The sequence below is a fragment of the Homo sapiens genome, chromosome 12, assembly GCF_000001405.40.
Source record: "Homo sapiens chromosome 12, GRCh38.p14 Primary Assembly".
Taxonomy (NCBI): domain Eukaryota; kingdom Metazoa; phylum Chordata; class Mammalia; order Primates; family Hominidae; genus Homo; species Homo sapiens.
This window is the reverse complement of record NC_000012.12, coordinates 93,452,614-93,474,167: the sequence shown is the minus strand read 5'-3', so window position 1 is coordinate 93,474,167 and position 21,554 is coordinate 93,452,614. Positions and strand designations below refer to the sequence as shown.

Below are 21,554 nucleotides of genomic sequence, written 5' to 3'. Positions count from 1 at the left end.
CAAGAAAACTCAAGACAACAGTATTTTAGTTAACAAGAAACTCAGTAAAATTTCTACTCTGTGTTTACACAGACATTTGTTTGTGCCCTCATGACACACTTATCACATTCTGCCTCATATTCTGGGCATTCTTAGTGTTGCTAGATGTCTGTTTCACCTACAAGTCTAAATAAGTTCCTTAAGGCCAGGAACTGTACCTTGTTCATTACTGTGTCCCCTATAGTGCCTACACATTAAAAAGTGATTGCCGAACTGCCTCTCAAATGTTTCTGCATAACTGATGTTTGAAAAATTCATAAGGACTGGGCATGGTGGCTCACGCCTGTAATACCAGAACTTTGGGAGGCTGAGGCAGGTGGATCACTTGAACCCAGGAGTTCAAGACCAGCCTGGGCAACATGGCAAAACTCCATCTCTACAAAGAAATACAAAACATAGGCCAAGCGTAGTGGCTCACGTCTGTAATCCCAGCACTTTGGGAGGCTGAGGTGGGTAGATCACCTGAGGTCAGGAGATCGAGACCAGCCTGATCAACATGGTGGAACCCCATCTCTACTAAAAATACAAAATTAGCCGGGCATGGTGGTACATGCCTATAATCCCAGCTACTTGGGAGGCTGAGGCAGGAAAATCACTTGAATCTGGGAGGCGGAGGTTGCAGTGGGCCAAGATCATGCCATTGCACTCCAGCCTGGGCAACAAGAGTGAAACTCCATCTCAAAAATAAATAAATAAATAAATAACCAGACATGGTAGTACACATCTGTAGTCTTGCTTACTTGGGAGACTGAGATAGCAGGATCACCTGAGCCCAGGGAGGTCGAAGCTGCAGTGGGCCAAGACTGCACCACTGCACTCCAGCCTGGGCAACAGAGTGAGACTTCACCTTGAAAAAAAAATAAGGAAACATTCATTACCTGATATTTTACCAATGGAAGTAATTCTGGATATAGAAGTAGCAGAAGCTCTAAATATATAATTAGGACCAATGCCAAAGTTAACAGCAATTAAGCTCAATGTGCCAAAAGAATTTCAATTAACAATAATTTCTGTAATTTATGAGTTATTCTTGTTACATATATATATTTAATTGCATTTTGAAAGAGCTATGAAAGCTAAAAGTTGTCCCATCTTCAAATGCTCAGTATTTTACCTTGCTACAGAAAAGGAAGTACAGTAGAAAGTATACAGGACAAAGTAAGGTGGGAGATCCAGATTTTGGTCACAGTTTTTGTTTACCAAATATGTGACCCTGGGTGAACTTATGAGGGCCACAGAACTCAAGTTTCTTTACCTTCATAAAGAGGATAATACTACATGGGCTACCAAAATCAAAGCTGTTATAAGGATCAAATGGCTTAACATGCTTTGAAAACTGTGAAGTGTTCTACACTCCCGGGCTGACTGACCATTTGGGAAATTTTAAAATATTCCTTCTAGAATATAAGGAAGGCTTTTTATTTTTGCTCACTGAACTTTCTTCCTTAATCATGATTTCGCTTTGCCTCCAATCTTACTGTCCTTCCCTTTTTTATTAAACATCAATAATAACAGTAATGAAACTTTCTTTAATTTTAATTTTTTATTTTTGAGACAGGGTCTCACTCTGTCTCCCAGGCTGGAGTACAATGGCACAATCACAGCCTCGAACTCCTGGGCTCAAGCAATCTTCCTACCTCAGCCTCCTGAGTAAGCTGGCTCCCTCCTGGGACCACAGGCGTGTACCACCTCGCCCAGCTAATTTTTGTAACTTTTGTAGAAATGAGGTTTCCTATGTTGCCCAGCCTGGTCTCAAACTTCAGAGCCTGCTTCAGCCTGCCAAAGTGCTGGTATTACAGGTGTGAGCCACCCTGCCCAGCCCTTTACTTTCAATAATAGTAGCAACAGGAACTTTGCAGTATAAGGGACTTTTCGGATATAAGAAGTTAGGTCACTGAGTATTAGGATAACTGATAATGGAATGATTTTCTAGGGTAACCTAATTCTTAGTTAACTAGATATTTTGAGAGTTAACTCTAAACCATTCAGATTACTTGAACAAACACTGATAGATCTCCTATCATGAATGAGAGGCCCCAGGGACACCAAAATGAATTAGATCCAGTACAAACTTAGTGGGAAATCCAGTGGGGAAAAAGATATATAAATAATTTTCAATTATTCAGGGACACATTAACTGGTTTTCTGATGGGCCTGTGTGAGGACTAATTGTTTCAAAACATAGTCTATGTAAAAACTGATTGGATGTGACTTCTCATTAGCCTAGGAGCTGGGTTCCTGCAAGGCAAAGAGGAATCTAAGAAGTAAGAGTAAGGGTCTTTCTCCCAATTCTCAACAACAAAAATGCTCCTAGATAATCAAAAGCTGATTGCAGTTTTGTTGTGACTTATTTTGGTTTATATCCAAAGTCTCTTAAGCAATGTCCTGTTCTATTTACTGAATTCTAAGTTGATTTTACTTTGAATATAATGTAATAAATGTTTCTATGTTTAGGGCCCTAAAAAATGGGAGAGTGGGGCAAGCAAGGAAGCAGGGATGGAAAGCTTCCTATAAGAGCAGGATTTGGTGGCCAGGTGCGGTGGCTCATGCCTATAATCCCAGCACTCTCGGAGGCTGAGGTGGGCAGATCACTTGAGGTCAGGAGTTTGAGACCAGTTTTGGCCAACATGGTGAAACCCCTCCCCTGCTAAAAATACAAAAATTAGGCCAGGCGCAATGGCTCACACCTGTAATCTCAGCACTTCGGGAGGCCAAGGCAGGAGGATCATTTAAGGTTGGGAGTTCGAGACCAGCCTGGCCAACATGGTGAAACTTTACCTCTACTAAAAATACAAATATTAACCAGGCCTGGTGGTAGGTGCCTATAATCCCAGCTACTCGGGAGGCTGAGGCAGGAGAATCACTTGAACCTGGGAGGCAGAAGTTGCAGTGTGCCAAGATCATGCCTCTGCACTCCAGCCTGGGAGCAAGATCCAGTCTCAAAAAATAAAATAAAATAAAATAGAGTAGGATCTGGCAAACTTTTGAGCATTCTATTCAACAAAGGTGTTTACTGAGTAAAATATTTTCCTCGTCTCAAGCATAACAAATTGCCTATTTATTACTTTACTTATACTCCATTCTTCAAATAGCTCTTTTCTCCCTAATTCAATAAGCAAACTTTCAATTACAAATGGTGGTAAATAGGAAATAAGAAAGAAGAGACAAAGGTCAAGGTCAAGCAGAGTTGTATTTAAAAAGTCAGCTGCACTTGCATGTTTATCAGAGCACTATTCACAATAGCGAAGACATGGAAACAAGCCCATCAATGGTGGACTGGAAGAATATGTGGTGTATATGCATACCATGGATTATTACACAGACATTAAAACAAATAAAATCATGTCCTTTACAGCAACACAGATGCAGCTGGAGGCCATTATCCTAAGTGAATTAATGCAAAAACAGCCAAATACTACATGTTCTAACTTACAAGTAGGAGGTAAACATTGGGTACATATGGACACAAAGATGGGAACAATAAACACTGGGGACTCAAAACAGAATGGAGGGATGGAGGGAAGAGTTGAAAAACTACCTATTGGGTACTATGTTCACTATTTGGGTGACGGGTTCAGTTGAAGCCCAAACCTCAGTATATGTAATACATCCACGTAACAAACCTGCACATGTACGCCCGAATCTAAAATAAAAAATAAAAATAAAAAGTTGGCTCACATAGTTTAATATAAAAAGGCAAACCTACTGTTGCCTTCTATACATGTCTACTTTAGAAATGGAAAGCTTCCTATAAGAGCTGTTTATAAGAGCTATAAACTCTGTTTACAGACAGGAAAAGGAAAAAGAAAGCACAGTTGGCTGAGAAAAAAGACTTTAATACTCTATTTACTTATTTGGGTCCATGCTTTGACTGTCAAACATGTATTAACAAGCTTTCGAGAAAATACTAACTATATACAGTTCTTTAGAAAAGAAAGGCAGAAATTACATTTCATTTTTTTAAAAATGGCTAGGTACATAGAAAAAACACAATGACAATCCACCAAAATATTAACAATGATTATCTTTGGAAGATGGGACTGTGAATTTACCCTTTATTCGCACATTTTAAGAAATACTAAAAAAGTAATCACGCCACTGCACTCCAGCCTGGGCGACAGAGCCAGACTCCGTTAAAAAAAAAAAAAAGAGAGAAATACTAAAAAAGTAATACATGTAATCGAACAAGAGAAAGTTACCCTTGACCAGTCCCTTACTCCTGCCCTCAGCCAAATCCCAAGAGTGGGCTACACAGATAACCACTGTTTGGTCCAGACCTTTTACCTCTGCATTTATGCATATGCACACATGCATATGATGGATCATCTTTTAAACATACAAATAAGATCATATGATAGATATATATAGATGTGGTTCTGACATGCTTTTTTTGTTTCTATTTGGAGATCTTTCCATGTCAGTAACAGCTACATGACAGTCACAGTTCAGATGTACCATAATTTATCCATTCCCCTCCCCAACCCACATTTTTTTTTAGAGGTGGGGGTCTTGCTATGTTGCCCAGGCTGGTCTCAAACCCCTGGCCTCAAGCAATCCTCCCACCTCAGCCTCCCAAAGTGCTGGGATTACAGGCATGAGACACCACATCTGACCTATCCATTCCCCTTCTGACTGACATTTAGGTTTTCTCCCACTTTCCATTGCTGCAAACACTCCTGCAAATTACAGGCATATACAATAACTAAATGCTTTAAATTTTCTTAATTCTTAAAAGTTTAAAAGTTTTTAAACATTAAAAAAAATTTCACTTACTTTGGACTGGAAATAAATGTTTCAAGATAGTTCTCTTTGACATCACCCATTTTACTGCAGCTACAGCCATGGTGTTTCAAGATGCTTATCAAGTGGTATGAAAAAAGATGTTCTGAAGAGAAACTGCTTTTAGAATCTGCTTCTAAGCATACCAATTTCTACTCCTGCTGAAGAGATAAAGAAAAATCAGTGCTACCTATGGTAAATTTAAGTTATATTAAACACCACAAGAACAAGGTAAGAATCACTGCCTAGAAGTCAACTGAAGCAATGCTTTTAAACAACTTGGCAATTCCACATGATTGAACAACAGGACGAAGAGCGACATGGACAGAATATAAGATCAGAACCACTGGAACTATGTCCATTACTATTTATCTTAGATACAAACTTCTCTGCAGGACCCAGTGCAGCTCCTTCCACTTAATGAATACTCAGTAAATGTGTAATTACTCTTGAAACAGTCACTCACAAATGGTACACAGAGTATTCATTCTTTTAATGCTAGTGTGGCTGTGTACACCCTCCAAGGTTCCATACACAAGATACTACATCATTTACAGTACTATCCTGTTTCTGATTAAATGAAATAGTTGTCTGCCCTGAGCCATTAATAATAATAATAATAATAAAGAAATATCAAACAAGGCCTATCCTTAGCCTATTACTCAATTGGAGGAACTCATAAATGCCCTCAAGTCCCAGATAAAATTTCACCATCTTATATGTGTACAAAGTCTTTAACTTTCCAACGTACTTTCACCACCATTTCATTTTGCTCTCGTATTAATCATGTGAGGTATCTTTATTCTGATTCATGAAGAAACTAAAGTACAAAATTTAAACGTCTTGCTTCCAAGGACTTTAGAGTCAGTCACTGCCAAATTGGGAAACTTTAAACAAGTCATTAACTAAACGATCCTCAGTTTCTCCAATGACAAAATGGGGAAAACCACAATCTTCATGGCCTGTTGTGAATAAATGACAAATAACCATTGTTAAATCTTGTTTTTAATAGTCTTCAATGAGTATCCGTGCCCTTCCCCCCAATAGTGATAAAAGAGAATTAGGACACAGGCCCTCTTATTTGCTAGTCTAAACCACTCACACTGATACCTTGCACTGCCAGTACATTAACACCGTTAACCCTGAGCTCATAGGTGTGCTTTTTAGTTTACAACCCACTTTCATATACAATATGTGCTCTGACTTTCACAAGTGTGTGAAGCAGCATCTCCATTTCAGATTAAGAACAAAGGCTCAGAGAGGTCAATCGATTACTTGCTCAGTATATCGCTGCTTAATACATGCGTGGGACGTAAACCCATGACTTCTGACCACGAATAAAACATCTTGGGGGAAATTAGGTCCCCTCTGTCCGAAGCCCAGAGAAAAGCACGCCCTGCTGGGAGTCAGATTATTCACCCCAGGAAGATCATTTCAGAGATCAAGTCCCTCAGCCCGGAATTCAACCCCAAAACAAAAGCTACAGAGCCTCTGAGGGTCAGAGGTTTGAGGAACAGGCTACCAAGAGCACCAGAACTCTTCGACCTAAAGGAGTCCCTAGAGCCACAAGCTGCATCACCTCCCCACGGGCGTCCGCCAGGGAACAAAGGGGGCGCTATAAGAAACGCGCAGCCACATGCCGGCTCTTCTGCAGGAAGGACAAAGGCTGGGGATGCAGGCAACCTCGCCCTGCCGGGAACGACAGGCGGGAGACCTCTACAACTGCCGACCAACACTGTGGGACTGCCCAGTTTCGAGGAAGTCCTCGACAGGAGGAGTAGAGGGAAGCGGTTACCTTGACGGCTTCTCACCACGAACCCGCCATCTTGTTTCAATCCTGGTCCCACGAAACAGCGCTGCGCGCGCCGTCCCAGCCCGCGGGGCATTCTGGGAAATGTAGTCTCCGCGGGAAAGCGGCCCGGGTGCAGAGAGAAAGGGAGGATTGTTGCTATGGACTTTTACCTTTAGTTGGGGAAGCGTGGCCGCAGTGTTACTAAGGTGCCCAGAAAAACAAAATCACTGCCCCAAACACATACCCTTAGAAAGTAACAAGCTTTTTTTTTTTTTTTTTTTTGTGAGGCAGTCTCATTCTGTCACCCAGACTGGAGTGCAATGGCTCCCTCACGGCTCACTGCAGCCTCTACCTCCTGGGCCCAAGAGAGCCTCCCACCTCAGCCTCCTGAGTAGCTGGTACTACAGGCGCACACCACCACACCCAGCTAATTTTTTAATATTTTTGTAGAGACGAGGTCTCGGTATGTTGCCCAGGCTTGTCTCAAGCAATCCTCCTGCCTCGGCGTCCCAAAGTGCTGGAATTACAGGCATGAGCCACCATGCAAACCTATAAGTACTTTTTAAAAAAATTATGTTAATATTCAGAGAAATCGTAGATTGCTCTTTAGTAGATGAGTTAAAGTTTCCCAGGGGAAGAGACATTCCAGAGAAGCCCTGAAATGTGGAGGCTAGGATTTGGACGTTTGAAATCAGAACCTGAAGAGAACCTCCACTCTGAAAACCTGGCACTGTGCCCTCAGAACTGTGCTGGCTACCTATTATGGGAGGAAGTAAATATGCAGAATCTTGGACCTCGCTTTCCATCTTAGGAGGAAGGAAAGACCTCTGGGCCTTTGCACTCTCTGTTCCCATTGCCAGCAATGTGCTTCTCTGACCTCTTCTCATGACCTTACAGGTCTTTCTCAAATATCATCTTAGAAAGGACCACACCATTAAAATAGCCTCACCCACCCTTATTCCATGCCCCGCTTTATTTTCCTTCAGAATATTTACCATTACCTGACTTTATATTGATTATTTGTTTGCTCGTTGAATGTCTCTTTCTTTTTTTTTTTTTTTTTGAGACGGAGTCTTGCTCTATCGCCCAGGCCGGAGTGCAGTGGCATGATCTCAGCTCACTGCAACCTCCGCCTCTCAGCTTCAAGCGATTCTCCTGCCTCAGCTTCCTAATTAGCTGGGATTACAGGTGGCCACCACCACGCCCAGCTAATTTCTGTATTTTTAGTAGAGATGGGGTTTCGCCATGTTTGCCCGGCTGATCTCGAACTCCTTACCTCAGGTGATATGCCCACCTCGGCCTCTCAAAGGGCTGGATTACAGGCGTGAGCCACCACACCCAACCTCGTTTAATGTCTCTTATGCTGGATAATGTAAGCTCCTTGAAGACAGAGACATATGTCTATCTTGTTCTTCACTGTATGCAAACCCAGCATCTCAGACTGTGCTTGGTCTCATTATAGGTCTCCAGGAAGTGTTTGCTGAATGAATGAAAAGACTAGATAACGCTGCAAGTATCCAAGACAGTAGATGATTGGCTGGTAAAGCAGAAGCGGTCGCCTGGAAATTCCCTTCTCCCATGATTTGCAAAATTTTGCTTTTGTATATTTTTCTAAGAAATAATCTATAGCTTTTATTATGTATTCCAGGGAATTGATAAACCCCTCAACAAGTTAAGAACCATATTCCTGAAGTGACTAGTATTGAAAGTAAGTGAACACACATCACATAGTAAAGAAAACTAAATACGGGCTGTGTAGTGTGTCTCCTCATTTCCCACGGAATATCAGGAGGCTAATCTTTGCTCTTATAGAAGCCCACAGAGGGCCCATCTGTGTCCTTTCCAGTCGTGTCCATCCTCCAAAGCCACCCATGATGTCTTTCTGGACTGTGCAATAGGAAGGGACAGAGAGGAGAAACAGATTTGAATGAGCAGTCAACTGGACTGGTTGAACATTCCCTGCGTAAAGTGTAAGAAGAATGGATCAAAGATAATTCCAGAGGTCAAGTCTTGATGGCTGTGAGCAGAGTGGGACCAGTCCCCAACAGGGAGACTCACTTAGTGGGACCAAGGAAGGTCTCACAAAGCTGAGACCAGAAAAGAAACCAACATTTTTGGGGGAAGAGAGGGGAGAGACAGGTTTAGGCTGAGTGAGGGAACAACTTACACAAAGGTTTAATGTGGTGGAAATAGCTTACCATATACTGGAGTAGGGTGGATAGTGTGGATGAGAGCGGCAGGAGATGAGATTTGGAGCCAGGTCATGTTGGGCTTCATAAGCCTTGGAGGGGTTAACATGGAGTTAGGACACAGGACATATGTAGAGATTAAATAGAGTAGGTGGTGCTGTGTGCCTGTAGTCCTAGTTACCCTGGGAATGGGAGGCTGAAGTGGGAGGATTGCTTGAGCCCAGGAGGTCAAGGCGGTAGTAAGCTATGATCGTGCCGTGCACTCCAGCCTGGGTGACAGAGTGAGCCCTGTCTCTTGAGATTTTTACATGAAAGAAGTGACATAATTTGATTTCCATTTTTAAAAGGTTACTCTGGCTGCCCTGGGAGGAGTGGTTTGGAGAGTGGCAAGACCGCAGGCAAGTCTAGCAAGGAAGCTACTGCAGTACTGCAGTCAAGAAATCATGTGATGGAGGGTGGTGGCAGTGGAGATGGAGAGACAGGAAGAGTCCAGATGTATTTTGAAATTGGAAGTGATGACTTAACTTGCTGATGGATTGATTGAGAGGGAGGAAGATACTTCAGGTGATGCTTTGATGACTAGTTGACAGTGGTGCCCTTCATAAGACAAGGAAGACTGAAAGAGGAACAGGTTTGGGGAGTCTGATGATGGTGGAAATGCATACTTCCGTTTGGGAGTTGTTGAGTTTGAGATGGCTCTGAGACACTCCAGTGGAGATACAAAACAAGTCAGCAGCCTGGGCAATATAGTGAGTGAGGCCTTGTCTCTACAAAAAATAAACAGAATTAGTAAGGTTGATGATGCACACCTGTGATCCCAGCTACTAAGGAGGCTGAGGTAGGAGGATCGTTTGAGCCCTGGAGGTTGAGGCTGCAGTGAGCTATGGTCATGCCACTGCACTCCAGCCTGAGTAACAGAGTGAGAGCCCCATCTCCAAAAAAACAAAAAACAAAAGGCAGGTACTTGAAGAGGTGTGTTTGGAGAGTAGAGGTTGGACTAGGTATAGAAAAAAAAAGATAAAGGGCCTAGAAGCTGGCCCCAGGGAATTCGAAGGCTTAGAAATCAGATGGAGGAGGATAACCTTTAGCAAGGGCCTCCCAGGAGTGGCAGTGAGAAAGGTAGAAGGAAAACAAATACTGTGATGTAAGAGTAGTTAAGAGAGGCCATGTCACAAAGTGTTCCTAACTTAAGAGGTCAGTGCTAGCAACTTAAAAAGTATAATTTCCAAAAATACAAACTTGAAATACCAGCAAATAACTTATATTGGCCTACATAAAAGTGCTTTATTTTATTTTATTTATTTATTTTTTTAAGACGGAGTCTTGCTCTGTCACCCAGGCTGGAGTACAGTGATGTGATCTCGGCTCACTGCAACCTCCACCTCCTGGGTACGAGTGATTCTCCTGCCTCAGCCTCCTGAGTAGCTGGGATTACAGGTGCCCACCACAATGCGCAGCTAATTTTTGTATTTTTAGTAGAGACGGAGTTTCACCATGTTGGCCAGACTGGTCTCGATCTCCTGACCTCAAGTGATCCGCCCACCTCAAGTGATCCGCACACTTCACCCTCCCAAAGTGCTGGGATTATAGGCATGAGCCACTGTGCTCAGCTACAAATGCTTTAAATTCATGCTAGTAAAATGACAAACAGACAAAATTCTAGAACTTTGGAATTGGCATCAAATGGCTTCCATTTAAAAGAGGATTGCCTTTTCTTCTGTAACTTCCCAGAAAAAAAAGTCATTCTTTGTATCAATCAGAGAGCAAAGACTCCAGAGCAATCTTATGACCAAACTATTAGGAATGATCTTTCTGGCTGGGCACAGTGGCTCACACCTATAATCTCAACACTTTGGGAGGCCAAGGCAGGCGGATCACAAGGTCAGGAGTTCCAGACCAGCCTGACCAACATGGTGAAACCCCGTCTCTACTAAAAATACAAAAATTAGCCGGGCGTGGTGGCACACGCCTGTAATTCCAGCTACTCAGTAGGCTGAGGCAGAAGAATCACTTGTACCTGGGAGGCAGAGGTTGCAGTGAACCGAGATCACACCACTGCACTCCAGCCTGGGCGACAGAGTAAAACTCTGTCTCAAGAAAAAAAAAAAAAAAAGGAATGAACTTTCTAAACACTTAAACAATTATTGTTACTGTCATTTTACAAACAGAAGTAACAGAGGCACAGAGAGGTTTGAACAACTTGTTCAAAGTCACACAAGTTACTGTGCTTTGAACCCAGGAACTACTATTACCAGTGCTCGTGAACTTAACCACTGTGCTAGGCTGAGCCATGCTTATTTCAAAATACAAAATATAGATTAGACTAGGTGCTGTGGAGTGCACCTGTAATCCCGGCTACTCAAGAGACTGAGTGAGGAGGATTGACTGAGCCAATGAGTTCAAAACCAGCCTGAGCAACACAGCAAGATCCCATCTCAACAACAAATAAAACATATTTTAAAAAAATGAATGCAGATTTTAAAAACAAAACCCAAGAGATAATCACTGCTAACATTTTGATATATAACTTTTCACTTTACATTTCTTTTCTTTTTTTTCTTTGAGACAGGGTCTTGCTATAGTGCCCAGGTTGGTCTCAAACTCCTGGCCTCAGGCAATCCTTCTGCCTCATCCTCCTGAGTAATTGGGATTACAGGCTTGAGCCACAGCACCCAGCTCTCTTCTTATATCTATATTATGATAATAGCTAGCATTTATTGAGCACATTATGTGTACTATTCTAAAGTTCTATGGCAAGTGGAGCTGAGATAGGAACTAGATAGCCCGATTCTCCTTCAATCTCCCTTTCTTTCACACAAACACATTATTTTTAGGTTTTCTCCTATTACTGTTAATATGCATATATAAATATACATATACACGTATGCACATATTTTTTCCTGTGAACACCCTAAAATTGTCAGTGTAGAACCACAAGCCTCCTAGAGATCATCAGGACTTAAAGGGTTATTTTGATTATTAAAGATCTTTACATTGGGTATGGTGGCTCATGCCTGTAATCCCAGCACTATCAGAGGCCAAGGCAGGAGGATATATTGAGCCCAGGAGTTTAAGACCAGCCTAGGCCACATAGTGAGACCCCATCTGTACAAAAAATTTTTAATTTTGCTTTTTAAAAATGAAGTCTGGGGCCAGGTGCAGTGGCTCATGCCTGTAATCCCAGCACTTTGGGAGCCCAAGGCAGGCAGATCATGAGGTCAGGAGTTCAAGACCAGACTGGCCAACATGGTGAAACCCCGTCTCTACTAAAAATACAAAATTAGCTGGGCGTGGTGGTCGGTGCCTGTAATCCCAGCTCCTCGGGAGGCTGAGGCAGGAGAATCATTTGAAGCCGGGAGGTGGAGGTTGCAGTGAGCCGAGATTGTGCCATTGCACTCCAGCCTGGGCAACAGGGTGAGACTCCGTCTCAAAAAAAAAAAAATGAAGTCTGGGCATGGTGGCTCACACCTGTAATCCCAGCACTTTGGGAGGCCAAGGCAGGAGAATTACTTGAGCCCAGGAGTTTGAGACCAGCCTGGGTGACATAGTGAGGCCCCTGTTTCTACAAAAATTAAAAAAATTAGCCAGGTGTGATGGCATATGCCTCTAGTCCCACCTACTCAGGAGGCTGACGTGGGAGGATCACTTGAGCCCAGAAGGTTGAAGCTGCAGTGAGTCATGGTTGCGCCACTGCACTCCAGCTTGGGTGACATAGCAAGACCCTGTCTCAAAAAAAGAAAGAGAAAAAAAAAGAGAGAGAGAGAAATCCTTACAATATAGCTTTCATCTTTTTTTCTGAGATGGGATCTTGTTGTTTTGTCCAGCCTGGACTCAAACTCCTGGGCTCAAGCGATTCTCCTTCCTCAGCCTCTCAAGATGATATTTTTCATTTTAAAGTTAATTCATTATTAGGTGCTTTCCTGCAACTCCTAGATTTTTAATTTATTCTAATTCATTTACTTATCTAATAAATATTTATTGAGGACCTATTATATGTACCAGACACCAGAGCAGCAGTTTGTCTTCACAGATTATATCATGAGAGGGTGACAGATACTAAATATATACTGATGGGATTAATTATTGTATGACTGTTTCTCAGAGGAAAGGGATGTCATGGAGCACATACCAGGAACATCTGACTAGTGTGCTCAGGACAGGAAAGGCTTTCCTGAGGAAGCGAATTTAAGCAGAAACGTGAAGGAAGAGTAGAAGTTAGGTAGAGGAAGAGGGCCGGAGGGAACAGCCAGTGTGAAGGCGCTAAAATAGGAAGTAGTATGATTCTTTTAAGAAACAAAAGAGACGGTGTAGTAGCTCAGCCTATAATCCCAGCAACTGGTGGTAGGGCTGGGGGCGTGGTGAGGCAGGAGGATCACTTGAGGCCAGGAGTTCGAGACCAGCCTGGGAAGCATAGCAAGACCCTGTCTCTAAATAAATAAATAAATGAGGCCTGTGTGACTAGAATATAGGGTGCTAGCAAAAGCAATGAGGCTGATGGCAAAGGCAGATTTATTTTAATGTTATTCCTGACAGCCAAAAACTGGCTGGTTCAAGTGCAGCGGTGTTTACAACTCATTGATCATAACCAGTTACAGATTTCTTTGTTCCTTCTCCACTCCCGCTGCTTCACTTGACTGGCCTAAAAAAAAATTAACAAATAAAGCTTTCTAGGAGACCACATTATTTCAAACTTAACCAAAATTCAAGACCCTGTTTTTCTAGTAAACACTAAGTATTCTCTTTAAGAAGTGTTTGCTTTGCCTTGTTAAGATAAATGTTATACCTTAAATCATAGGGATAAATGTTCCCACCAGAAACTGAGAAATCTATAGCAGAAACTGCAAGCTATCCTCTAACAGAGGTTTCTCCTCTTTCTCTGTATTAACAGAACCCCTAATTCAGGGGTATATGGTTACTCACAATTATAAAATTCACACTTTTTTTTTTTTTTTTTACAAAAAACTAGCCTGGCACGGTGGCATGTGCCTGTAATCCCAGCTACTCAGGAGGCTGAGGCACGAGAACCACCTGAACCTGCGAGGCAGACGTTGCAGTGAGCCAAGATTGTGCCACTGCACTCCAGCCCAGATGACAGACCGAGAGCCTGTCTCAAAAAAAAAAAAAAAAAAATTTACATTTTTCAGCTTCCCTTGCAATCCTAGGTGTGGTCATGTGACTTCCTTAAAGCCAACTAGTATGCACCCTCTTTGCTCCCTACTTCATCCTTCCTCTTGGCATGTGGATTTAATGATCATTATTGTAGAATCCCAGGATGGCCTTGACCTTGGAATGACGGAGCAGTCAGCTGGAAAGAGTCTGGATTTTTGATGGCTTTGTAGACAAGGTTCCTGAGACTTCCTACTACAGATTTTTACAAAAGAGAGAAGTAGACTTTTATCTTGTTTAATCTGCTGTTATAGTAATTGCAGTTTTTGCCATTTACAGTAATGGCAAAAGTTAGTGCAAAAGTAATTGCACCAATTTTTGCCAGACACCAGAGCAGCAGTCTTCACAGATTATATAGTCAGAGCGTGACAGATATTAAATATATAATGATGGGATTAATTATTTTATGACAATTATGTTGAGTGTCTCAGAGGAAAGGGATGTCATGGAGCACATATCAGGAACATCTGACTAGTGTACTCAGGACAGGAGAGGCTTTCCTGAGGAAGTGAATTGAATTTGCCATATAATCTGTGAAGACAAACTGCTGCTCTGTTAGTAAAAGACAAAGTATTAGGCTGCTGTGCAACAACCTAATACTTTGTCTTTTACTAACAGTGGAAACTAATCCTATCTGAAATGACAGAATCAAAATAATTCAAATCAGAAATAATTCAAGAAAAATATCTATAAAGGATTAGTACTGATAAAAATATAAGGTCCTCTATTCTACTGAGTACAATACAGATCACGAGTTATAAACTGCTTTTCCTTCAAAAGTTTTCTTATGACCATTCAAAATGAGTTTTACACTTAATATCTTCTCTATCCTTAACATCTTAAAGGGCTCCCCATGTGTAGGACCATCTTATTTCTTTTTTTAAATAGAAATTTATTTATTTATTTATTTATTTATTTATTTATTTATTTTCATTTTCGAGACAGGGTCCTGTGCTGTCACCCAGGCTGGAATGCATTGGTGTGATCTCAGCTCGCTGCAACCTCTGCTTCCCATGCTTAAGCAATCCTCCCGCCTCAGCCTCCCTAGTGACTGGGACTACAGGCACAAACCACTACCCCCGGCTAATTTTTTGTTATTTTTTGTAAAGACTGAGTTTCGTCATGTTGCCCAGGCTGGTCTCGAACTCCTGGCCTCAAGTGATCCACCCACCTCAGCCTCTCAAAGTGCTTGGATTACAGGCATGAGTCACTGTGCCTAGCCAGGACCATCTTAATTATTTCTTTATAGCTCCTGGAGGTCCAGCATAATGTTAGGTAGGCAGTAGAGTGTAGAGGTTAAGAAATGGAGTCTGAGAATCTAGCTGCCTAAATTTGAATCTCCCCTTGCTTCTTAACTATGTTATTTGGGGTAATTTAACTACTTAATATTTTTGAGTCTCAGTTTATCCTTTGTAAAAGTAAGATAATATGTTTTCTGGCTGGGTGCGGTGGCTCACACCTGTAATCTATAGAATTGTTGAGTGGAATAAATAACAGAAAGTGAGCAAAAAGCTTAGCAAAGTACCTCGCAGGTAGTAAGCACTCAATCAATGCTAACCATAATCATATCTTATAGATGCTTAACAAAATCTTGTCTAATAATTATTTGTGAAAATCTATACCAAGGAGATAACTTATTTCTTAGGCATTAAGAAAAGAAATAAAAGCCATCCCTTTTGACTACCAGGAATAATCTAATAAATGTAACTAAAAATGAAAAAATAAATCTGGTCTAAAATGAACAATAATGGCCAGGCGCAGTGGCTCATGCCTGTAATTTCAGCACTTTGGGAGGCTGAGGTGGGTAGATCACCTGAGATCAGGAGTTCGAGACCAGCCTGGCCAACATGGCAAAATCCCATCTCTACTAAAAATACAAAAATTAGCTGGGTGTGGTGGCACACACCTGTAGTCCCAGCTACTTGGGAGGCTGAAGCAGAAGAATCACTTGAATCCAGGAAGTGGAGGTTGCAATGAGCCAAGATCATGCCACTGCACTCCAGCCTGGGCAATAGAGGGAGACTCTGTCTAAACAAAAATAAAAACAAAAAGGTTGGTATATCTGTTAGGGTCCCAGAAGAGAACAGATGACTTACTCAAATCGGGATGGTTTCAGGAGGGTTTGTTTACAGAAAGTATCTTCACAGAAGTGTGAGTTGTATGTAGGGAATCACAGAATCACAGGTAGTAGTAGTAATAGTAGTAGCAGTAGTAGTAGTAGAAGAAGAATTTGGGCTTAGTAAAACTGGCTGTTCCTTCATGCCCCTCCAGGCCTGAAGGTACAAAGAGAGGGAGCAGTTATCAGAGCCCAGAAAAAGAGAGTCCTGCAGCAGCTACCTTGAGAGGGGAAGTAACCTTCAACTGAAGGGCATAGCCAGCCTGAGGTGACCTTGAAGGAGTAACCCAGAGTAATAATTACCCTGACCTCTCCATTCTTCCCACCTCCCATGGGTTAAGGGCCCAGTCTCATAAGACACAAGACTGCCCTCTACCCCTGCAGATGCCAATCTGTGATGTAGACATGCGTGTATGTGTGTGTGTGTGTGTGTGTGTGTATGGTGTGTGTGTATACTGGAAAATAGCACTGTAGGTGGATCTGGTTTATTTCATTACAGATATATATATGTGTGTATATTTGTCTGTGTGTGTATATGTGTGTACACATCATATATATGGTATGTACATATATACACATCATATATTACTATATATGTGATTTGTGTGCATGTATTCTATATGTAAGTCCTTAGAATGTATTATATTCACCTTGTGGCCTATTAGTTTATCTTTGTAATTCTAATTTTTTTCTTACATGGGGTCTCACTCTGTCACCCAGGCTGGAGGGCAGTAGTACTATCACGGCTCACTGCAGCCTTGACATCCTGGACTCAAGTGATCCCCCCACCTCAGCCTCCCAAGTAGCTGGAACTACAGGTGTGCCACCATGCCCAGCTATTTTTTTTTTAATGTAGAGATGGGGGGGTCTCACCATGTTGCTCAGGCTTGTCTCAAACTCCTGGGCTCAAGCCATCCTCCCACCTTATTCTCCTCAAATGCTGAAAGTACAGGTATGAGCCACCGTGCCTGACCTATGATTCTAATTTTTAAAGACTTCTTATTACAGAAAATTTCAAACATATAAAAAATTAGAAAGAATAGTACAATAAACCACTAGGTACCTCTCATTCAGCTTCAACAATGATAACTCATGGCCAATTTTATTTCATCTGTACTCCCACATTGTACCTTCTCCTATATTATTTTGAAGCGAATCACACGTAGCCTGCAATTTCATCTATAACTATCTTAGTAAGAAACACTAATAGGTAAGAACTCCTTTCTTCTAACATAACCATATGTCATTATACAATTTTTAAAAATTGACAAGGATTATTTAACATTCTCGAATATCCAGTGAATATACAGCTTTCCAGATGGTTCATAAATGTCATATTTTGAATTTGCTTTGCTTGTTTGAATCAGAATCCAAATTAGATGCATGCATTTTAACTGTTTGAGATCACTTTTAAGTTTCTTTAATTTACACGTTCCTCCTCAATTCCTCTCTCTCTCTCTTTTTTTTTTCCTTGCATTTATTTGTCAAATAAACCGGGTTGTTTGCCCTGAAAAGATTCTCACAGTCTGGACTTTGCTGAGTGCATCCTTGGGGCAAACTTTAACATGTTCCCAGGTCCTTTGTGTCTTCTGTAATTTGTGATCCCAATTTTTCAAAAAAATGATTTCCTTAGAAATCATTATATTAAAAAGGACAATTGCACTCATACGTTTATCACAGCACTAGTCACAATAGCAAAGTCATGAAACCAACCTAAGTGCCCACCAACAGTTGGCTGCATAAAGAAAATGTGAGATAGGTAGATAGATAGATAGATAGATAGATAGATAGATAGATATCTCATGGAACACTATGCAGCCATAAAAAAGAATGAAATCATGTCCTTTGCAGCAACGTGGATAGGGCTGGAGGCTATTATTCTAAGTGATCTAATTCAGAAACAGGAAATCAAATACCATGTGCTCTCACTTAGAAGTGGTAGCTTGACAATGGCATACATGGACATAAAGATGGAAATAATAGACACCCAAAGGGAGGAAGTTTGCAGGGGGACTAGGGTTGAAAAATTACCTATCAGGTACGATGTTCACTATTTGGATAAGGGATACACTAGAACCCCAATCCATCCCCACCAGTGTGAAATACAGTCATGTAGCAGGCATACACATGTACTCCTTGAATCTAAAACTAAATTAAATTTTAAATAAATTTTAAAAATTTATCTTTAGGTAGCCAATTTAGACTTATAAGTCTATGTTGGAGGGTGTAAAAAATTGTATTAGGTTTGGAAGCACTATTAGAGTATTTCATAGGTGAGTTGCCATATTTAGATTTTTTTAATTTATGAGAATTATTTTAGTACTTGAGAATATTTATCAGTCAGAAAATTGAAGGGCTGGAAAAGAAAATCATATACGCTAGATTTATGAGTGCAATTTTAAATGTTTAAATGGCCAGGCATGGTGACTCATGCCTATAATCCCAGCATATTGGGAGGCTGACACAGGAGGATCACTTGAGCCCAGGAGTTCATGACCAGCCTAGGCAACATGGTGAGACCCTGTCTTAGAAAAAAGAAAAAAAATTAATATTTAAATGTATTTAACTTACTCAAGTATTATTTTAGCTGCTAGTCTATAAATAGAATAATAAGAACTATTGCAGTCATCAAAAAGAATGAGTTCATGTCCTTTGCAGGTACATAGATGAAGCTGGAAGCCATCATTCTCAGCAAACTAACACAGGAACAGAAAACCAAACACCTCATGTTCTCACTCATAAGTGGGAGCTGGACATTGAGAACACATGGACACAGAGAGGGGAACATCACACACCGGGGCCTGTCGGGGGTGGGGGGCAAGGGGAGGGAGAGCATTAGGAAAAATACCTAATGCATGTGGGGTTTAAAACCCAGATGACCAGTTGATAGGTGCTGCAAACCACCACGGCACATGTATTCCTATGTAACAAACCTGCGCGTTCTACACATATATACCAGAACTTAAATTAAAAAAAAAAAAGAATAATAAGAACTATAAATCAAACTTGAAGACTTGAGGAAAAACTACACTTTACTGTTACTTCAATCAATTTAATGTTAATTTTTTAAAAATCTGTAAATGACCAGGCATGGTGGCTCACACCTGTAATCCCAGCACTTTGGGAGGCCGAGGCAGGCAGATCACCTGAGGTCAAAAGTTCAAGACCAGCCTGGCCAACATGGTGAAACCCCATCTCTACTAAAAATATAAAAATTAGAGCAGGCACAGTGGCTCATGCCTATAATCCCAGCACTTTGGGAGGCCAAGGGAGGTGGATCATTTGAGGTTGGGAGTTCCAGACCAGCCTGGCCAACATGGTGAAACCCCATCTCTACTAAAAAATACAAAAATCAGCCTGGCATGGTGGCAGGTGCCTGTAATCCCAGCTAGTCAGGAGGCTGAGGCAGGAGAATCGTTTCAAACTGGGAACCTGGGAGGCAGAGGTTGCAGTGAGCCGAGACTGTGCCACTGCACTCCAGCCTGGGTGACAGAGTGAGACCCCCATCTCAAAAAAAAAATTATGTGAATAATCTTGTGCCTCAAAGACAACAAAATACATCAACTCAAAGTTGTTTTTGCCCTCATCTCTCAAAAATCACATCCAAACAACAATGAGAACAAAAATGGAAGCCGACAGAAACTGGAATACCTGACTTGGTAGAGCAAAGTCAAGCATGCAAGTTGCACCAAGGCTCAGGAATTGGTGGCATCAAGTATTTAGGAAGGCAGGAGGGATGAGGGGGCTGAAAAGTGATGGAATATTTGAAAATCAGCATAAAGCACAATTAGACCTCAGACTCCCATATCTAACAGCCTACCCCAGTTGGAAATGGAAATACAAATCCCAAAGATTCTGGATTTAGGAAAGTTATACCTAGAAGAGGGCAGAGGAGAAGAGTCCAATGGAAAACTGGGGAGGTGGCTGGGATGGTGGTTCATGCCTGTAATACCAACACTTTGGAGGTCCAAGCGAGAGGATTGTTTGAGGCCAGGAGTTAGATACTAGCCTGGGTAGCATAGCGAGGTGCCATCTGTACAAAAAGAAAAAGAAAAATTAGCCGGCTGTGGTGGTGCATCTGTAGTCCCAGCTACTCAGGAGGCTGAAGCTGAGGTTGCAGGATTGCTTAAGCCCAGGAGCTTGAGGGTTCAATGAGCTATGATCTTACCACTGCATTCCAGCCTGGGTGACAGAGCAAGAACCTGTCTCCAAACAAAGGAAAAAAAGAAAAAAGAAAACTTGGGAGGAGGAATGCCGGTAAGTTTTTTGAGCCTGGTCTGCAGCCTTTCCTGTGATCGTGTGAACCACCCCATGTCCTCCCAGTGAATTCCTTTTCTGTTTAAGTCAGCCTGAGTCAGTTTCCATGCCTGTAACCAAGAACCCTGACTAACATAATATTTTGCACTTACTCGGTGACAATTCTATTAACATTATGTTTCCATTCCCCGTAAGCCCATAAGGGTAGTTTTTTTTCCTGCAACCTCTGCCTCCCGGGTTCAAGCGATTCTCGTGCCTCAGCCTCCTGAGTAGCTGGGATTACAGGGACGTGGCCAGCTCGTTTTTGTATTTTAAGTAGAGATGGGGTTTCACTCTGTTGGCCAGACTGGTCTTGAACTCCTGACTTAAAGTAATTCACCCGTCTCGGCCTCCCAAGGTGCTGGGATTACAGGTGTGAGCCACCGTGCCTGGCCCCATAAGAGTAGTTCTTCATCTGATTTTGCTCATAATTTTACTTGCAGAGTCTAATATAGTGTCTGGCACTTAGTGGGCGCTAACCAAATAAATGTTTTTGTTTTGTTTTGTTTTTTTGAGACAGAGTCTCACTCTGTCACCTAAGCCAGAGTACAATGGCATGATCTCAGCTTACTGCAACCTCCCCCTCCTGGAGTCAAGCAATTCTCCTGTCTCAGCCTCCTGAGTAGCTGGGATTACAGATGCCTGCCACCACGCCTGACTAATTTTTGTATTTTTAGTAGAAATGGGGTTTCACTATGTTGGTCAGGCTGGTCTCGAACTCCTGAACTTAGGTGATCCACCTGCCTTGGCCTCCCAAAGTGCTGGGGTTACAGGTGTGAGCCACCGAGCCTGGGATAAATGTTGGATGGATGAAGAAGCCTTCTCTCTGTCTTCTATATACTCCTCATTGCATCTTCTATATCTCAGTTTAAAAACTTGTCACATCAAATTGTATTAGTTTTTAATGTCTGTTTCCCCTATTAGAATGTAAGCTCAAGCCAGGTGTGGTGGCTCATGCCTGTAATCCCAGCACTTTGGGAGGCTGAGGTGAGTGGATCACCTGAGGTCAGGAGTTTCAGACCAGCCTGACCAACATGGTGCAACCCCATCTCTACTAAAAATACAAAATTAGCCAGGTGTGGTGGCACATGCCTATAATCCCAGCTACTTGGGAGGCTAAGGCAGGAGAATTGCTTGAGCCTGGGAGGCGGAGGTTGCAGTGAGCCGCGATCGCACT

General features: G+C 41.9%; 1 protein-coding gene across 5 annotated transcripts in view, besides 2 other annotated features; it reads right to left on the bottom strand.

The window, feature by feature from the left end:
• Positions 1-6,654, bottom strand: part of MRPL42 (mitochondrial ribosomal protein L42) — a 48,701-nt gene extending 42,047 nt beyond the window's left edge. Inside the window, exons 1-3 of one of the 5 annotated variants that reach the window (NR_038159.2) lie at positions 6,614-6,654; positions 4,813-4,979; positions 3,663-3,682 (exon numbers count right to left, since the gene is read on the bottom strand). Coding sequence is in view for 2 of the 5 variants with exons in the window: in NM_172177.5 (NP_751917.1) it covers positions 4,813-4,882 (70 nt within the window). In the remaining 3 variants the exon portion in view is untranslated. Of the gene's footprint in view, positions 1-3,577; positions 3,683-4,812; positions 4,980-6,613 lie in introns of all 5 variants that reach the window. The other 4 variants (NR_038161.2, NR_038160.2, NM_172177.5 and 1 more) reach the window with 4 other exon arrangements.
• Positions 6,433-6,702: an enhancer, noted in NCBI's record as "active region_6770". NCBI's record gives its function as "activates an Ori minimal core promoter by ATAC-STARR-seq in GM12878 lymphoblastoid cells {active_cell/tissue: GM12878}" and the evidence as "EXISTENCE:reporter gene assay evidence [ECO:0000049][PMID:35858748]".
• Positions 6,763-6,822: an enhancer, noted in NCBI's record as "active region_6769". NCBI's record gives its function as "activates an Ori minimal core promoter by ATAC-STARR-seq in GM12878 lymphoblastoid cells {active_cell/tissue: GM12878}" and the evidence as "EXISTENCE:reporter gene assay evidence [ECO:0000049][PMID:35858748]".